The following is a 19081-nucleotide window of genomic DNA, read 5'->3' on the forward strand; positions in this document are numbered from 1 at the left end:
GAATGGACTGTAGCTAGGATCAAAATATAGATGCATCTCCAAACAATTCCCAAAGCCCAAAGATAAAAGACCATACACAATAGGAACCCAATCATAAAAACAAAAAGAGCTGGCTGGGGGCAGTAGCTCACGCCTGTAATCCCAGCACTTTGGGAGGCCGAGGCGGGTGGATCACGAGGTCAGGAGTTCGAGATCAGCCCTGACCAACATGGTGAAACCCTGTCTCTACTAAAAATACAAAAATTAGCTGGGCGTGGTGGCACGTGCCTGTAATCCCAGCTACTCAGGAGGCTGAGGCAGGAGAATCACTTGAACCTGAAAGACGGAGGTTGCAGTGAGCCAAGATTGTGCCACTGCACTCCAGCCTGGGCAACAGAGTGAGAACATGTCTCAAAATAATAATAAATAAAAATAAAAAGAGCTCAAATCAAACCACATTATTTAGGGTTGCATGCGTGTGTGCTAAAAGTCTAAGGAAAGGCAAGGAAACGATAATCAAAGTCATTGGCATAGCATTTTCCTCTCAGGGAAAAGGGAGAGAACACATGCCAGTTATTAAGTTGTGACCCTTTTGGGAATAGGCTTTGTGATGTTGGGGCTGGGATCTTCAGCACCCTTTTCCCTTTACCCAGCAGGCTCCTTCTCAGGCTCTTGCCATAGGTGGCGCCAGAGAAAGACTTCAAGGCTGGAACAGGAAGGAAGAATTTCCTCCTTCCTGTTTCTCCCCTTTGGGTCTCCACCTGTTTCCTGCCCCTTTTTAAGGTTCCCAGCAAAACTTCTTCACCCTTGCACCATCATTTCCTTTGGCAGCAGCAGCTAAATCCTGCCTGCCATTTTTCCAACACTTCACAAAAATAGCCTCATTGTGACCCTTCACCATCACCAGCACCTGCCAGCCCACTCTTCAGAAATCAGAGTTTCAGCTTCCCTAAGTTCCTAAATTTCAATAATTCCAACCTCTTCACATGGTGCCTTCCCTCCACTCATCCCTACCAGGTAATAGCTACTTCATCCAGTTGCTACCTCCAAGATACATTTAGAATTCTGTTTTTACTGTGTCAGTTACAGAGGTCACAATTTTATACCTAGCTAATGGTTCTTTAGATCAAGTTCTTTCTGTTAAAATAACTTGGTGGCTCTTGAGTTCATGCTTGTTGCTTCATAGTCACCTCCAGCATTAAGCCGACATCCCATGCAGTAAGAGAGGGAAATGGTGTTTGAGAGCCACATATGCCCCTTTCAAAGAGCTTTCCGCTGGGATGACCAGTTGTCCCTGATTGTGCAGGACTGAAGAGTTCCCCAGGATGCAGGACTTTTGTGGCTGAAACCAAGAAAGTCTGGGCAAACAGGGATGAGTTGGTCACCCTAAACTCTGTGACTTCTGCTTAAACACATTGACTGTAGCTATTTCTATGGTCACTTTGCTCACCTCTGGCTTCAAGGAAGGCTGGGATACGTAGATGTAGGTTTTTAGCAGGGCTCATTATCACCCCAGTCAAAAACAGAGTCCTGTTAATTAGAAGGAAGGGCAGAATGGATATTGGAAAGGCAGCTGGTGGTCCTGCCCTTTAACTCCAGATAGCAATCATTAACCACCCCGCAACATTGCCTGAGATCACATGGCTATCATTAGAGATGTGACAAGAAGCCAGGTCTTCTGCTGGTGGCCCCCATAGGATACACTGCCTGTTTCTCTCTTTCAAACTCATTTCTGGCACCCAAGAAATAAAACCATTTCCATATGTTAGCATTTTCAATCTTCAATGACTAATTATATTCCAAAGGTGAGAGGTTTATGCAGGAAACCTTCCCACCATGTCTTGGCCAGTTACTGGGTGAAAATGGTCACCAAATAGAACCATGGCTATTTTACATATGCACTATTTTTATTTCTGTGTTTGCAGTCATGTTTGGCTCTTTCTTAGTGGGAATTTTGGTTGTAAGATTTTAGTTTTGGGCCGGGGGCGGTGGCTTGCGCCTGTAATCCCAGCATTTTGGGAGGCCGGGGTGGGTAGATTGCTTGAGCTCAGGAGTTTGAGACCAGCCTGGGCAACATGGCAAAACTCTGCCTCTAAAACCAATACAAAAATTGGCAGAGCATGGTGGAATGTGCCTGTAGTCCCACTTGCTTGAGCCCAGGAGGCAAAGGTTGCGGTGAGCCGAGATCGTGTCACTGAACTCCATCCTGGGTAACAGAGTGAGACTCTGTCTCACACACACACACACACACACACACACACACACACACACACACACACTTTAGCGCAGATTTTAGTTTTGGCTGGGCATGGTGGCTCACACCTGTAATCCCATCATTTTGAGAGGCCACGGTGGGCAGATCACTTGAGCTCAGGAGTTTGAGACCAGCCTGGACAACGTAGCAAGACCCCATCTCAATTTAAAAAACAAAACAAGACCAGCCTGGAAAACATAGCAAGACCCCATTGCAATTTTTAAAAATTGTTTTAGTTTTGTGATGGGTTCAAGAATCCTGTGTCCTGTACTCTTTTTTTATTTGGTGTTTATCTGGTTTTTTTTTCTCAAGCATTAAGTATTGTTTTATCCTAGATGTCTTTATTCTAGGTTCCCTTTGGTACCTGCATTTACTCTTATTGACTTGGTAAGAAAATGCTTGTTTGGGAGGATTCCAAATCTGTTAAATCCATATGCTGGCTCACTTTCATTTCAACAGCCAGGTGCTTCGGCAGTATGGCATTAATATACATAAAAAGAGGGAGGCAAACTTATGTCTCACAGATTGAATCTTTTTTACTAACTTTGGAAGACTCTCTTGGCCAGCTTGGTTTGTTCCTTTGAATCATGAATACGATAAACTGCAGAGGGAAAAATATGATCAATAGGTATCAGCCAAGGGCTGCTCGGCCTTGTAGATTTCACGTATATTTTGTGACCTCCCCATAACACATCATCATTGGAGGCTGCATATCTGCAAGGTACACACAAAATAGGCTGCATCTCATCTGCTTTCAGTCACCACAGCACCGTGTATGTTTAGTACAGCCACAATTTTTATAAACGGCCGAACAACGGGCTGGAAGCCAGGGCTTCTCAAATTCCATTTCCTTCTCTAGGATACGAATTTCCTCATAGATGTTGGAAGCTACGTTTCCTCTTTCCTTTCCTCTCACTTCAAAACAGTGAACATGTGAATATATATATTTAGAGTAGCATGAGAAACAAGCAGTTCCTACATCTTGCATGTAATTCACTAATGTCCAATTTCATTGTCTCTCCTTGTCTCCATGTAATTCCTTCTTTCCTGTTCAGAGCTCTGAAGATTTGTAATTAAACTCCCACACTTGGTTTTTTTTTTACTTCAGCTTTGATTATAATTTTAGGTTGAGCCATATGAAAGTAATGACAATTAACCACATGTGACCTTTTTTTTTTTTTTTTTTTTTTTTGAGATGGAGTCTCGCTCTGTTGCCCAGGCTGGAGTGCAGTGGTTCCATCTCGGCCCACTGCAACCTCCACCTCCCAGTTCAAGCGATTCTCCTGCCTCAGCCTACCGAGTAGCTGGGATTACAGGTGCCCGCCACCATACCCGGCTAATTTTTTTTGTAATTTTAGTAGAGACAAGGTTTCACCACGTTGGCCTGTCTGGTCTCCATCTCCTGACTTCAGGTGATCCACTCGCCTCAACCTCCCAAAGTGCTGAGATTACAGGTGTGAGCCACCATGCCCGGCCCTCACATTTGACCATATTTGAATGGCAGTTGTATCTGGTTCAACCTAATTATAAGCTGCATACATTGAGACTGTGCTTATATTCACAGCACTGCACCAAGTTTTTACACATATAACTCCCAGTTAGACTGCAGATTCACATAAAGTGGGGAAACTGAGGCACGCGTGGAGATGAAGTGACTTGACCAGGGTTTGCAGTTAGTAAGTGTTGGAGCTACAGTTAAAACTCAGGGGTCTGGCCGGGCGCGGTGGCTCACACCTGTATCCCAGCACTTTGGGAGGCCAAGGCAGGCGAATCACTTGAGGTCAGGGGTATGAGAACAGTCTGGCCAACATGGCAAAACCCCATCTCTACTAAAAATACAAAAATTAGCTGGGAGGGGTGGCATGCACCTGTAATCCCAGCTACTCAGGAGGCTGAGGCACAAGAGTCATTTGAACCCGGGAGGCAGAGGTTGCAGTGAGCCGAGATCACACCACTGCACTTCAGCCTGGGCAACAGAGTGAGACTCTGTCTCCAAAAACAAAACAAAACAAAAGAGACGGAGCTCTCCCTATGTTGCCCAGGCTGATCTTGAACTCCTGGCCTCAAGCAATCCTATGGCTTCGGCCGCCCAAAGTGCTGGGATTACAGGTGTGAGCCACCATGCGTGGAAACTGGTTTCTTTGGAGAAGGGTCTGACTTCCTTATCACTGTTCTCACACCTCTCAAACACGTGGCTATTTGTCACTTCAGGGTAAGAGGATGTGACAAACGGCAGGACCTTACGATCTACATTAAAAAGCTGCTTACCATGAATCCACTTAAAATGGAAACCAAAACGTTTTAATTCTGTGAAATTTTGTGAGATTTGTGGGGGAAAAAAAAAACATATGAATCAGACTTTACCTAGAAAGATGATTCCAATAAGTTGGTTTAACTTATGCTTCACTGAATTTAGTTCCTACAAAATTTTTGCTAACTTTTAACAGCTGAGACAACATGCGCATATCATGTAAATCACCCATTTTAAATATACAATGCATTGGCTTTTGGTATATTCACAGATCTGCGCATCCATCAACACAGTTTATTTTAGAACATTTTCTTTTTTGTTGTTGTTGAGACAGAGTCTCACTCTGTCGCCCAAGCTGGAGTGCGGCGGTATGATCATGGCTCACTGCAACCTCCGCCTCCTGGGCTGAAGCGATCCTCCTGCTTCAGCGTCCCAAGTAAATAGGACTACAGGTGAGCACCACCAGGCTCGGCTAATTTTTCTAGAGATGAGGGTCTCGCCATGTCACCCGGGCTGGTCTCGAACTCCTCGACTCAAGCAATCTGCCCGCCTCAGCCCCGTAAAGTGCTGGATTACAGGCGTGAGCCACCATGCCTAGCCTTACAACGTTTTCATTATACCAAAAGGAAATTCCTCGCTCTTTAGTTATCACCTTCGTCTCCCACATCCCCATCCCAGCCAGCCCTAAGAAACCACTAATCTGCTGTCTCTATGGATTTGCCTGTTCTGGACATTTCACATAAATGGAACCACACACTAGGTGGTCCTTTGTGATTGGCTTACTTCACTTAGCATAATATTTTCAAGGTTCATTCATACTGTAGCATGCATCAGAACTTCAATCCTGTTAATTGCCAAATAATATGCCACTGTAGCCAGGTGCAGTGGCTCACGCCTGTAATCCCAGCACTTTGGGAGGCCGAGGCGGGTGGATCCCTTAAGGTTAGCAGTTCGAGACCAGCCTGGCCAACATGGTGAAACTTTGTCTCTACTAAAAATACAAAAATTGGCCAAGTGTGGAGGTGGGTGCCTGTAATCCCAGCTACTTGGGAGGCTGAGGCAGGAGAATCTCTTGAATCCAGGAGGCAGGGGTTGCAGTGAGCCAAGATCGTGCCACTGCACTCCAGCCTGGGTGACAGAGCAAGACTCCATCTCAAAAAATAAATAAAATACAATAAATAAAATTGCCTTCTTTGACGTGGAATCGGAAGCCCGACTTTTTAGGTTCTTTCATCAGATCCCAAAGAAACCAACTGCCATTTCCACTGCTGAAGTCTCTCAACAAACATCACTGTGCATTGGTCTGGTCACCAATGGGGGTGTCTTTCCCATGAGTTCCTCCCACATCCTCAATAAAGAAGCAGGAATAATGATTCAAATTTTTCTTTTGGCCAGGCACGGTGGCTCATCCCTGTAATCCCAGCACTTTGGCAGGTTCAGAGGGGAAAATTGCTTGAGCCAAGGAGTTCAAGACCAGCATGGGCAACATAGCAAGACCCTGCCTCTATTATTAAAAATTAAATTAGGTCAGGTGAGGTGGCTCATGCCTGTAATCCCAGCACTCTGGGAGGCCAAGTCAGGTGGATCACAAAGTCAGGAGTTTGAGACCAGCCTGGCCAACATAGTGAAACCCCGTCTGTAGTAAAAATACAAAAATTAGCCGGGCGTGGTGGTGCGTGCCTGTAATCCCAGCTACTCGAAAGGCTGATGCAGGAGAATCACTTGAACCTGGGAGGTGGAAGTTGCGGTGAGCCGAGATCGCTCCACTGTACTCCAGCCTAGGCAACAGAGCGAGACTTCTACCTCAAAAAAAAAATTAATTAATTAACTAATTAAAATTAAAAAAGGAAAAACAAATTTTTATTTGGTCTCTGCCAGGAAAAAAAAGTAGCTTCCACTTAGCAATCAGCTTGTTTTTATCTTACGGAGAGTTAACCTCATAAGTGAGCATGTATCCTTCCTTGTTTGGGCTGCTAGTTAGCTCAGAACCAAAACTGGAATCCGTCTCTCCCAACTACATTAAACTTTACGGTTTGTATTTTGTGTACTCACTATATGCATGGCTTAGTCTTACGTTTTTGATCAGTATTTCTCTGTTTTTCTGTTTTCTCATTTACTGATCTACTTTTATATTGTTGTATGTATATATCTGAGTAAGCAGTCAGAAATCCATTTTTTAAAATTTGAGTTCAGATGAACTTAACCACCATGATGCAATCAGCAAAAGTCAGACTGTGGGAAACTCTAATGAGCAAATGACCCAGTTTCTTGAAAGGGGAAGAAAAGGAAATGGACAGGGAAGCCTAGACTAAAAGCAATTACAAGAACCCTCATACATTGTTCTTGGGAATGTCAAATTCCACAGCCGCTTGGGAAAGCAGTCTGGTAATTTCTTCAAAAGGTAAACATATACTTAGTATGTAACCCAGCAATTCCATCCCTAGGAATCTAACTGGAGAGAAATGAAAACACACGTCAAAGACTAGTCTATGAATGTTCATAGCAACTGCATTATTCATAGGGCCAAAAACTGGAAGCAATCCATGTGTCCATCGAGTCGTGGATTTATTCTTTTTTTTTTATTTTTTACTATTTAAAAAAAAATTTTTTTTGAGACAGATTCTCACTCTGTTGCCCAGGCTGGAGTGCAATGGCATGATCTCAGCTCACTGCAACCTCCGCGTCCCAGGTTCAAGCAATTCTCCTGCCTCAGCCTCCTGAGTAGCTGGGATTACAGGCATGTGCTACTACACCCAGCTAATTTTTGTATTTTTAGTAGAGATGGGGTTTCACCATGTTGGTCAGGCTAGTCCTGAACTCCTGACCTCAAGCAATCCACCTATCTCGGCCTCCTGAAGTGCTGTGATTACAGGCATGAGACACCTGAAGTGCTGGGATTACAGGCATGAGCCTGGCCCATTTCTACTTTTCTACCAATTTACCAAAATTTCTACCAATTCTACCAAAATTTGCTGGGCGTGACGGTGGGCGCCTGTAATCTCAGCTACTCGGGAGGCTGGAGAATGGCTTGAACCTGGAAGATGGCGGTTGCAGTGAGCTGAGATCCAGCCATTGCACTCTACCCTGGGGACAGAGTGAGATTCCATCTCAAAAAAAAAAAGTAGAAATAGTCAAGGAGAAAGCAGATGCTGGAGTGAGGATTGACTTCAATTGAAGAAAATTTTTAGGATGATGGAGGTATCCTTTTTTTCTTTCCTTTTTTCTTTTTTTTTTTTTTTTTTTTTTTGGTGAGACAGGGTCTCCACCCAGGCTAGAGTGCAGTGGTGCGATCATAACTCACTGCAGCCTTGAACTCCAGGGCTCCACTGATCCTCCCACCTCAGCCTCCCAAGTAGCTGGGACTACAGGCACACACCACCAGACCCAACTAATTTTTTTAAATTTTATTTATTTATTTATTTTGAGCTGGAGTCTCACTCTGTTCCCCAGGCTGGAGTGCAGTGGCACAATCCTGGCTCACTGCAGCCTCCGCCTCCCAGGTTCAAGCCATTCTCCTGCCTCAGCCTCCCCAGGAGCTGAGATTATAGGCACTTGATATCACCCCCTGCCGATTTTTGTATTTTTAGTAGAAACAGGGTTTCACCATGTTGGCCAGGAAGGTCTCGAACTCCTAACTTCAGGTGATCCGCCCCCTACACTAGCCTCTCAAAGTTCTGGGATTATAGGCATAAGCCACCACACCCAGCTTAATTTTTTTATTTTTTGTAGAGAGGCAGAGGTTGCAGTGAGCAGAGATTGCACCACTGCACTCCAGCCTGGGCAACAGAGTAAGACTCTGTCTCAAAAAGAAAAAAAAAAAAAAAAAAGTTTTAAAAGACAAACTGCCAGACATGGTGGCTCACACCTATAATCTCACCATTTGGGGAGGCCAAGGAAGGATTGATTGCTTGAGGCCAGAGGTTCGAGACCAGCCTGGGCAACATAGGGAGACGCCCTATCTCTACAAAAAATACAAAAATTAGGCCAGGCACGGTGGCTTACGCCTGTTAATCCCAGCACTTTGGGAAGGCCGAGGCAGGCAGGTCACCTGAGGTCAGGAGTTCAAGACCAGCCTGGCCAACATGGCAAAACCTCGTCTCTACTAAAAATACAAAAATTAGCCGGGCATGGTGGTGCATGCCTATAATTCCAGCTACTAGGGAGGCTGAGGCAGGAGAATCACTTGAACTCAGCAGGCAGAGGTTGCAGTGAGCCGAGTTCGTGCCACTGCACTCCAGCCTGGGCAACAGAGTGAAACGCCGTCTCAAAAAACGAAACAAAACAAAACAAATTAGCGGGCCTGGTGGCACGTGCCTGTAGTCAGGAGGACCACTAGCACCCAGGAGTTCAAGGCTGCAGTGAGCTATGATCGCAGCACTGTGCTCCAGCCTGGGTGAGAGAGTGGGACCCCATCTCTAAAATAAATAAATAAAGATAAACTAAAGAGTCTTTTAAAAAACAAAAATGAAGCTCGGGAGCACAGGTCACTGACGACATCTGGCTGGAATGAGGCAGTGAACATCTAGTTTTCGCCTGCTCAGCATTCATTGCCCCTTCTGCTAACAGGAGTCAGGCTTTGCTTTAAGGAGCGGCCAGCCCTTCTCATGCAGCCTTCCAGAGTCTGCCCCTCAAGGTAATAGACACTGGTCCACCCTTAGCCCAGGCCTGGGCACAGAACCTCTGCTAAGCCGATCGCTGCTTGGGGTCCCTCGGGGATTCCAGATTCCAGTCTCGTATAGAATGATGCAAGAAGGGAAGAGCTCAGAGCGGATTGATCCCCGTGGGGCATCCTGAGACACCAGCGTTGGGTTTTTGTTGCTGAATCCCACAGCAGCCCTGACTCCTGTCTTTTCTGAAGCCTGAATCTTGGCATTCTTCTGTTATGTGAACTACAGGCTAATACATTCCCTTTTTGTTTAAGTTGGCTGGGGTTGGTTTCTGTGGCTCAAAACCACAGCACCCCATGGCAGAGCCTCTGCGGATCGTCAGCTATTCTTTGTGTTTCTTTTCCTGGCCTGTCTTGGGCTGATACAGCTACACTCCCAGAACCCCTTGGACATTAAGACTTACACAAGCCATGAGCAGGGCATGGTGGAGTGAGCCTGTGGTCCCAGCTACTCAGGAGGCTGAGATGGGAGGATCATTTGGGCCCAGGAGGTGGAGGCTGCAGTGAGTTATCATTGCACCACTGCACTACAACCTGGGCGACAGAGCAAGACCCTGTCTCAAAAAAAAAAAAAAAATTTCAGCTGGGCGTAGTGGCTCACGCCTATAATCCCAGCATTTTGGGAGGCCAAGGTGGGTGGATGGGTGGATTATTTGTGGTCAGGAGTTCAAGACCAGCCTGGCTAACACGGGGAAACTCCGTCTCTACTAAAAATACAAAAATTAGGCCAGGTGGGGTGGCGCACGCCTGTAATTCCAGCATTTTGGGAGGCTGAGGCAGGCGGATGACAAGGTCAAGAGTTCAAGACCAGCCTGACCAACATGGTGAAACCCCCGTCTCTACTAAAAATACAAAAATTAGCTGGACGTGGTGGTGCATGCCTGTAGTACATCTACTTGGGAGGCTGAGGCAGGAGAATCGCTTGAACCCGGAAGGCGGAGGTTGCAGTGAGCCAAGATCGCGCCACTGCACTCCAGCCTGGGTGACAGAGTGAGACTCCATCTCAAAATATATATATAGATATATAGATATATATCTATATATATATTGGCCGAGTGTGGAGGCGGGTGCCTCTAATCTCAGCTGCTTGGGAGGCTGAGGCAGGAGAATCGCTTGAACCTGGGAGCGGGAGGTTGCAGTGAGCCGAGATCTCGCCACTGCACTCCAGCTTGTGTGACAGACCAAGACTCTGTCTGGAAAAAAACAAAAAAAAATTCCATGGGAACCAGTAGCAGGGTAGGAAAACGTAAGCAGTAACGAATGAATTCCTGGAGGCTCCGGATGGACAAGTCTGAGTGTTAAAATCTCCAAGGGGACCCAGCCCTAGAGGGCTCTCATACTTTTGTGTTTTTCTCTTGAAGCCCTACCAGATTTTCACAGTAAAGATCAGAGAAAAACAAAGCCAAACCCTCATGCTTCAGCAGAGGGAAGCGGAACACAGACATTTTGAAATACACCAGAGCGCTCTGCTATTCTTTCCAAGGCCTGCCCTCAAGGAAAACTATCTTACCAGAGCTGGCTGGATGGACTGGGGGCGTACCAGAGACTAACCAATTATTAATCTTGAATATGCCTTATTGTCCTCATTTATAAAACCGGGGTAATAGCTATAACCTCATAACGGTGTTGTGAGGATGAAATGATGAATGCTTGCAAAATGCTCTGAGCCGTGCCTTGGTACACAGCACCTGCTTGATATACGCGTGTCTGCCATCATCATTATTATCATCATCCCCTGCCCCCAGACAGGGCAGAGATGTGGACATCGGAGCAACTCTGGATCCCGATGGACGTCCAGTCCTCAAACTCAGTCCAGTCCTAGGGTTCCCAGTTGAGCAGCTTTTGGGAGCTTCTGTGAATCTGGTGTTTGGGCTACGATGATTCTTGCTTTTCTTGTCTCCAAATCCATTCTTGCCAAATAAGCTGCATGTCTTGAGGTAACATGAGTGAGTTTCTAAGTGTCTCACACCCTCACTGACATTCTCTCTCTCTCTCTCCCTCCCCCCCGCCCCTCTCTCCCCTCTCTCTGATACAGCATTTGTCTCTGTCATCCAGGCTGGAGTGTACTGGTGCTGTCACAACTCATGGCAGCCTCGACTGCCTGGGCTCAACTGATCCTCCTGCCTTAGCCTCCAGAGTACCTGGGCCCACAGGCACACACCACCACACCTGGCCAATTTTTAAAATTATTTGTAGAGACGAGATCTCCTTATGTTGCCCACGATGGTCTCAAACTCCTGGGTTCAAACAATCCCCCTGCCACAGCCTCCCAAAGTGCTGGGATTACAAGCATGAGCCACTGCACCCAGCCAACATCATCCATTTTAGTCCTCATTTTATAGTAAGGGAAACTGAAGCCCAGAGAGGCCAATAACTTGTCTGAGGTCACACAGCTTGTTAATCATGAAGCTGCCTCCAAAATTTACACCCCTCCCATGGCACCATCATGCTGCTTTGATTTAAGATAGTGATGCAAGCATCTCAGTCTGCTTTGCTTAACTTCTCCATCCAGGTTAGGGATGGACTGACTCAAATTGCTTCCATTGTTATCACTAGTATTTTGTATGGCTGTTGAATAAATGTATGGAACATCAACTGCCCTCATTAACTCCCCTGCTGGTATCCACACCCCTGTGTAGTCCCCTCCCATACTGAATTAGGCTGACTTGTGTAAACACTAGGCAGAACTAGACTTCCGGGGCCAGATCATAAAAGACCCTGTGGCTTCTCTTTGCTCTTTCACGAAGTCCTTGCTGCAAGGGAAGCCATGTTGTGAGGATGCTCAAGCAGCCCAGTGGACAGGTCACATGACCTCCCGCCAATAACAGCACCAACTTCCCAGGTGTATAAGGGGCCGCCTCAGAAGTGGAGCCTCCAGGCTCAGGTAAATTTCAGCTCCAGCTAACATCTTGATGCAACCTTACAAGAGACCCCTGAGCCAGACCCACCCAGCTGAGTTATTCCCAAATTTTTTCTTCTGAGCCACAGAAACTGTGAGATGATAAATGTTTACCATTTAAAGCCACTAGGTGAGGAGTCGTTTGCCATGAAGCAATAAATGAGTAACATACAACACTTCTATCTTTTTTCCAAGTCCCAACGCCAGTATATTTCATCGGGAATATTTTTCCCCATGCTTTGGTTTGAACATGTTTCCTGTGGTGTCAGAGTCAGATGTATATTTTCCTGAATTGGTGTTTAAGAAATATGTATGAGTTCTAAATGACAGGGTGGCTGTGAAAGAAAAGCAAGTTCGCCTGTTGGAAGCAAGCTGAGGAAACAGGGTTCATCTCTCTTAGATTTTTAGGCTATGGTTTCGAATGGGTAAGGAAGTGTTTCCACAGGAGATAATTCTGTGCCTTACACACAGGCACACACATGCCTGCACATACACACATACACGTGTGCACACATGCATGCACACACACACACGCACACATGCACACACACACACTTTTGGTCTCCTTGCTTTTGCAATGATAGCAAAGTGCAGTACTTTTCAGGAATGGTCAGAGTTTTCATCACTGTGTGATGAGAAATTCTAGAGACTCAGTGAACAGGCAGAAAGCAAGACTGGGGACACAGGAAGGATCCTCGGAGGATACAGAAGCCGTAGGAGGTGACATTCAGTGGACAGGAAAAGGAAGAGGATGAGAAGACAGAAGAATGGTCCAAGTTCCCCGATCATTCGCCAAATAGCTACTGAGCTCCAGGTCTTCAAAGATTTCAGATTCTGAGACTTCTGCTTTGCTTCATCAGCCTGCTTTCAGACTCAGCCAGCGCTGGGGTTCAGGGAATTCCATAAAGACCCTTTCTTGTGATGGGGCTGTATTCTGCTGCCTTGCATATGTCCACCTGGGAGCAATGGTCAAACCAAGGACCCTTTGGGCTTAAGGCAGAAGAATGACCCCATCATTGCTTCTTCGTGGGTCTTGTACAGCTACTGTGTGCCCAGCACATGGTGCATGGTGTGATTCCTAGATTTTGGAAGAAAAAGGAAAGACAAGGTGGAGGAATAGCCCAGCTATACCTCATTTTCTAGAGCAGCACCGTCCAACAGAACTTTCTGCAGTGATGGAAGTGTTCTTCCTCTGCACTGATCAATACGGTAGCCATTAGCCACCTGAGCCTAGAGGCTCTGCTTCCAAGGTGGCCCCTTATACACCTGGTGCTGTTATTGGCAGGAGGTCATGTGGCCTCTCTACTGAGCTGCTTAAGCATCCTCACAGCGTGGCTTCCCTTGCAACTAGGACTCCATGAGAGAGCAAAGAGAAGCCACAAGGGTCTACTAAGCACTTGAAATGTGGTGCCTGCCAGGGAGGGGCGGAATGTTTAACTTTATCTAGTTTTAATTAGAGTATAAGTTTAGGTAGTCGTATATGGCTACTGGCTTCTGAATTGCATGGCATAGCTCTTAGGCCTTGCTTTGGGTTTATAAACACAGTCTCTCTAAAGATTTATAACAACTTTTGACAGGGCACGGTGGCTCACGCCTGTAATCCCAGCACTTTGGGAGGTCAAGGCGGGTGGATCACCTGAAGTCAGGAGTTCGAGACCAGCCTGGCCAACATGGTGAAACCCCGTCTCTACTAAAAATACAAAAATTAGCCAGGCATGGTGGCGGGCGCCTGTAATCCCAGCTACTCGAGAAGCTGAGGCAGGAGAATCACTTGAACCCAGGAGGTGGAGGTTGCAGTGAGCCAAGATCCCACCACTGCACTCCAGCCTGGGCAGCAGAGCAAGACTGCGTCTCAAACAACAACAACAACAATAACAAACAACAACAACAAGCTTTTAAATTGGCCAGGCACTGCGATTCACTGAGTGTAATCTCAGTACTTTGGGATGCCGAGGTGAGAGGATTGCTTGAGCCCAGGAGTTCAAGACCAGCCTAGACAACATAGTGAGACCCTGTCTCTACAAAAAACAAATGTTTTTAAAACTAGCTGCAGCTGGGTGCGGTGGCTCAAGCCTGTAATCCCAGAACTTTGGAAGGCCAAGGCGGGCAGATTATTTGAGGCCAGGAGTTTGAGACCAGCCTGGCCAACATGTTGAAACCCCGTCTCTACTAAAAATACAAAAATTAGCTGGGCATGATGGTGAGTGGCTGTAATACCAGCTACGTGGGAGGCTGAGGCGGGAGAATTGCTTGAACCTGGGAGGCAGAGGTTGCAGTAAGGTGAGATCACTCAGACTCCATCTCGGAAAAAAAAAAGAAAAAGAAAGTAGCTGGGCATGGTGGCATGTGCCTGTGGTCTCAGCTACTCAGGAGACTGAGGTGGGAGGATTGCTTGGGCCTGGGAGGTCGAAGCTCCAGTGAGCTATGATCATGCTACTGCACTCCAGCCTGGGTGACAGAGTGAGAACCTGTCTCAAGAAAAAGGAAAGTGGCTGGGCGTGGTGGCTCACACCTGTAATCCCAGCACTTTGGGAGGCCGAGGCAGGCGGATCACGAGGTCAGGAGATCGAGACCATCCTGGCTAACACGGTGAAACCCCGTCTCTACTAAAAATACAAAAAAGTAGCTGGACGAGGTGGCGGGCGCCTGTAGTCCCAGCTACTGGGGAGGCTGAGGCAGGAGAATGGCGTGAACCCTGGGGGGCGGAGCCTGCAGTGAGCTGAGATCGCGCCACTGCACTCCAGCCTGGGTGACAGCGAGACTTTGTCTCAGAAGAAAAAAAAAAAAGAAAAGAAAAAGAATAAATCCACTATTACATTTTTGTACAAGTTTTTGTGTCAACATGAAGTTTTCAGTTCACTTGGGTAAACAGCTAGGAATGAGATTGGGGGATCCTGTGGTAAGTGTAGCTTAACATTATAAGAAACTGCCAAGCTGTTTTTCAAAGCTGCTGTAACATTTTTTTTTAATCTTTCGAAAAATATTTATTTATTTATTTTCAGGCAGGGTCTTGCTGTGTTCCCCAGGCGGGCGTACAGTGGCAAGATATAGCTCATTACAGCTTCTACCTCCTGGGCTCAAGGGGTCCTCCTGCCTCGGTCTCCCACATTGCTGGGACTACAGGCATGTTCCACCACATTCTGATAATTTTTCATTTTTTGTAGGGATGGGGGTCTCACTGTGTAGCCCAGGCTGGTGTCAAACTCCTGGCCTCAAGCAATCCTCCTGCCTCAGCCTCCCAAAGTGCTGGGATGACAGGCACAAGCCCCCACACCCTTCTAGCTGTACCATTTTGCATGCCATTGGCAACATAAGAGAGTTCCAGTTGCTCCACATTCTCACCAACAGTTGCTATTGTCAGTTTTGTTTTCTAAGGAATGTGAATAGGTGTGTAGTGATAGCTCGTTGTGGTTTTAAGTTGCTCCCTAATAATAACATTGATCATCTTTTCATATGCTTGCTTGTCACCCATACTTTTTTTTTTTTTTTTTTTTTTTGAGACAGAGTCTTGTTCTGTTGCCCAGGCTGGAGTGCAGTGGCACGATCTCGGCTCACCACAACCTCCGCCTCCCGGGTTCCAGCGATTCTCCTGCCTCAGCCTCCTGAGTAGCTGGGACTACAGGGGCCTGCCACCATGCCCAGCTAATTTGTGTGTGTGTGTGTGTATTTTTAGTAGAGATGGGGTTTCACCATGTCGGCTAGGCTGGTGTCAAACTCCCGATCTCAGGTGATCCGCCCATCTCAGCCTCCCAGAATGCAGGCATGAGCCACCGTGCCTGGTCCCATATACCTTCTTTGGAGAAGTATCTGTTCACATCTTTTGCCTAATTTTTAAATTAATTAATGTATTTTTAGAGGCAGGGTCTCGCTCTTATTGCTCAGGCTGGAGTACAGTGGCACAATCATGGCTCACTGAAGCCTCGACCTCCCAGGCTCAAGCAATCCCCCCGCCTCAGTCCCCTGAGGAGCTGGGACTACAGGCATGCGCCACCACACCCAGCTAATTTTTGTATTGTTGTAGAGATGGGGTTTCACTATGTTGGCCAGGCTGGATTTGCCAATTTTTTAATGGACTGTTTCTCTAGATATTTTATTGCCTCTTTAACAATAAAATTAAATAAACTCCCTCTTTCACACAGCCTTAACTTCGTGTAGTGGTCTTGTGGATGGCTTACTGCCTTGGAGTTAATTTCGTTCCTTCTCGTTTCTGCTACCAGCTTCACAGGCTTCTGCTAAGGTAAGAGCCTGGGTATGGTGGAGCCTGAAAAGGTTAACTCACTCTTCCTTTGCAAGTTTTTTTTTTTTTAATGGAGTCTTACTCTGTCACCCAGGCTGAAGTGCAATGGCACAATCTCAGTTCACTGCAACCTCCACTTCCTGGGTTCAAGTGATTCTCCAGCCTTGCCTCCTGAGTAGCTGGGATTACAGGCGCATGCCACCACGCCTGACTAATTTTGTATTTTAGTAGAGATGGGGTCTCACCATGTTGGCTAGGCTGGTCTCAAACTTCTGACCTCAGGTAATCCACCCTCCTCAGCCTCCCAAAGTGCTGGGATTACAGGCGTGAGCCACCACGCCAGGCTGCAACCTTTTTACTTTTCTTTTTTTGTTTTGTTTTTGTTTTGAGACAGAATCTCATTCTGTCACCCAGGCTGGAGTGCAGTGGTGTGATCATAGCTCACTGCAGCCTTGACCTCCCAGGCTCAGCCTCTTGAGTAGCTAGGACTACAGGTGTGCACCACCATGCTTGGCCAATTTTTGTATTTTTTTGTAGAGATGGGGGGGTCTCGCTATGTTGCCCAGGCTGGTCTCCAACTCACGGACTCAAACAATCCTCCTGCCTCAGCCTCCCAAAGTACTGGTGTGAGCCACCTGGCCAGCTATGCTTCTTTTTTTGAGCACATGCTTTGTGAGACAGCTTTCACATGCCCTCTGGACCTGGAGAGAGTGAGAGAAGAATTCAGTTTCTAACATCTTGGTTGGTCAATGCCTTTTTACTGGTCCTTTTTAAACCTTCCCTGTGGAAGCTACCAATATATCCAATGACTGACTGCGTAAGGAAAAAGGAATGGCAAATGATTAAACCCATGCCTGGACTTGCCAAGGTCACAGGGAGTTGGCCTCGTGAACTCCTTGCAGTATTATTGTACAGTGTTTTGCTCCTTGGGGAAAACATCATCTAGGTTTGTCAGTTTGTGCACAATTCTTTCTTTCTTCCTTTCTTTTTTTGAGACGGAGTCTTGCTCTGTCGCCAGGCTGGAGTGCAGTGGCGCGATCTCACCTCACTGCAACCTCTGCCTCCCCGGTTCAAGCGATTCTCCTGCCTCAGCCTCCCAAGTAGCTAGGACTACAGGTGCACGGCACCATGCCTGGCTAATTTTTTTGTATTTTAGTAGAGACAGGGTTTCACCATGTTGGTCAGGCTGGTCTTGATCTCCTGACCTCGTGATCTGTCCCCCCTCACCCTCCCAAAGTGCTGGGATTACAGGCCTGAGCCACCATGCCCAGCCTCTTTCTTTTCTTTTCTTTTTTCTTTTTTTTTTTTGAGACAGGGTCTCATTCTGTCCCCCAGGCCGGAGTGCAGTGGTATGGCGATCTTGCTCACCGCAGCCTCGACCTCCGGAGCTCAAGTGATCCTCCAGCCTCTGTCCCGTAAGTAGCTGGGATTACAGCCATGCGCCACCACACCTGGCTAATTTTTTGTATTTTTTGTAGAGACAGGGTTTCACTGTGTTGCTCAGGCTGGTGTCAAACTCCCGACTTCAAATGATCTATCCACCTCGGCCTCCCAAAGTGCTGGGATTACAGGCATGGGCCGCCTCGCCTAGTCTACAATTTTTTTTTTTTTTGAGATGGAGTCTGGCTGTGTCGCCTAGGCTGGAGTGCAGTGGCGCAATCTCAGCTCACTACAACCTCTGCTTCCTAGGTTCAAGTGATTCTCCTGCCTCAGCCTCCTGAGTAGCTGAGATTACAGGTGCCAACCACCATGCCCGACTAATTTTTATATTTTAGTAGAGACGCGGTTTCACCATGTTGGCCAGGCTGGTCTCAAATTTCTGACCTCAGGTGATCCTCCCGCCTCAGCCTCTCAAAGTGCTGGGATTACAGGCGTGAGCCACCACGCCCAGCCTACAATTATTTACATTTAATATTGTTAGGCCTATGGTGCCTGGAAGTACATACATGCCTCTTGTCATTAAATAAATCTGTCATTAAGAAGTCAGAAGTCATCTCAAGGAGTCCAAAGGAAGAGACCGTATGAGGAGGTTGTATGTAAATCTCTCTCTTTACAATTGTGGTAAAATACACATAACATAACATTTAACGTCTTAACCGTATTTTTTTTTTTTTGAGACCGAGTCTCACTCTGTCTCCAAGGCCGGAGTGCAGTGGCGCAATCTTGGCTTACTAAAACCTCTGCTTCCTGGGTTCAAGTGATTCTCCTGCCTCAGCCTCCTGAGTAGCTGAGATTACAGGCGCACACCACCACGCCCAGCTAATTTTTGTATTTTAGTAGGGATGGGGTTTCACCATGTTGGTCAGGCTAGTCTCAAACTCTTGAGCTCAAGTGATCTGCCTGCCTCGGCCTCTCAAAGTGCTGGGATTACAGGCATGCGCCACCGCGCCCGGCCGTCGGAACCATTTTCAAGTGCACAGATCAGTGGCATGAAGCACATTCCCAGTGCTGTGCAATCAACACCATCAGCCACCTCCACAATGTTCTCATCTTGCCCAACAGAAACTCTGTCCTTATTCCACAGTAACTCCCGGTCTCCCCTCTCCCAGTCCTCGGCACCCAGCATTCTACCCTCTGTCTCTATGAATCTTACTGACCAAGGGACCCCATAGAAGTGGAATCACATCACATTTGTCTTTCTGTGACCAGCTTATTTCACTGAGCATAATGTCCTCAAAGCTCATCACTTCACATGTCACGTATGTCAGAGTTTCCTTCCTTTTCAAGTCTGAATCATACCCCACTGTATGTGGTACCACAGGGGTAAACGCACACTTGGATTGCTTCCACCTTCT

General features: G+C 46.8%; 1 annotated feature.

Moving 5' to 3' along the window:
- Positions 5822 to 5996: a silencer, noted in NCBI's record as "fragment chr7:4704492-4704666 (GRCh37/hg19 assembly coordinates)". NCBI's record gives its function as "represses an EF-1alpha promoter that drives an FKBP-Casp9 reporter gene in an ReSE screen in HepG2 liver carcinoma cells {active_cell/tissue: HepG2}" and the evidence as "EXISTENCE:reporter gene assay evidence [ECO:0000049][PMID:32094911]".

This window comes from Homo sapiens, chromosome 7 (genome assembly GCF_000001405.40).
Source record: "Homo sapiens chromosome 7, GRCh38.p14 Primary Assembly".
Classification (NCBI taxonomy): domain Eukaryota; kingdom Metazoa; phylum Chordata; class Mammalia; order Primates; family Hominidae; genus Homo; species Homo sapiens.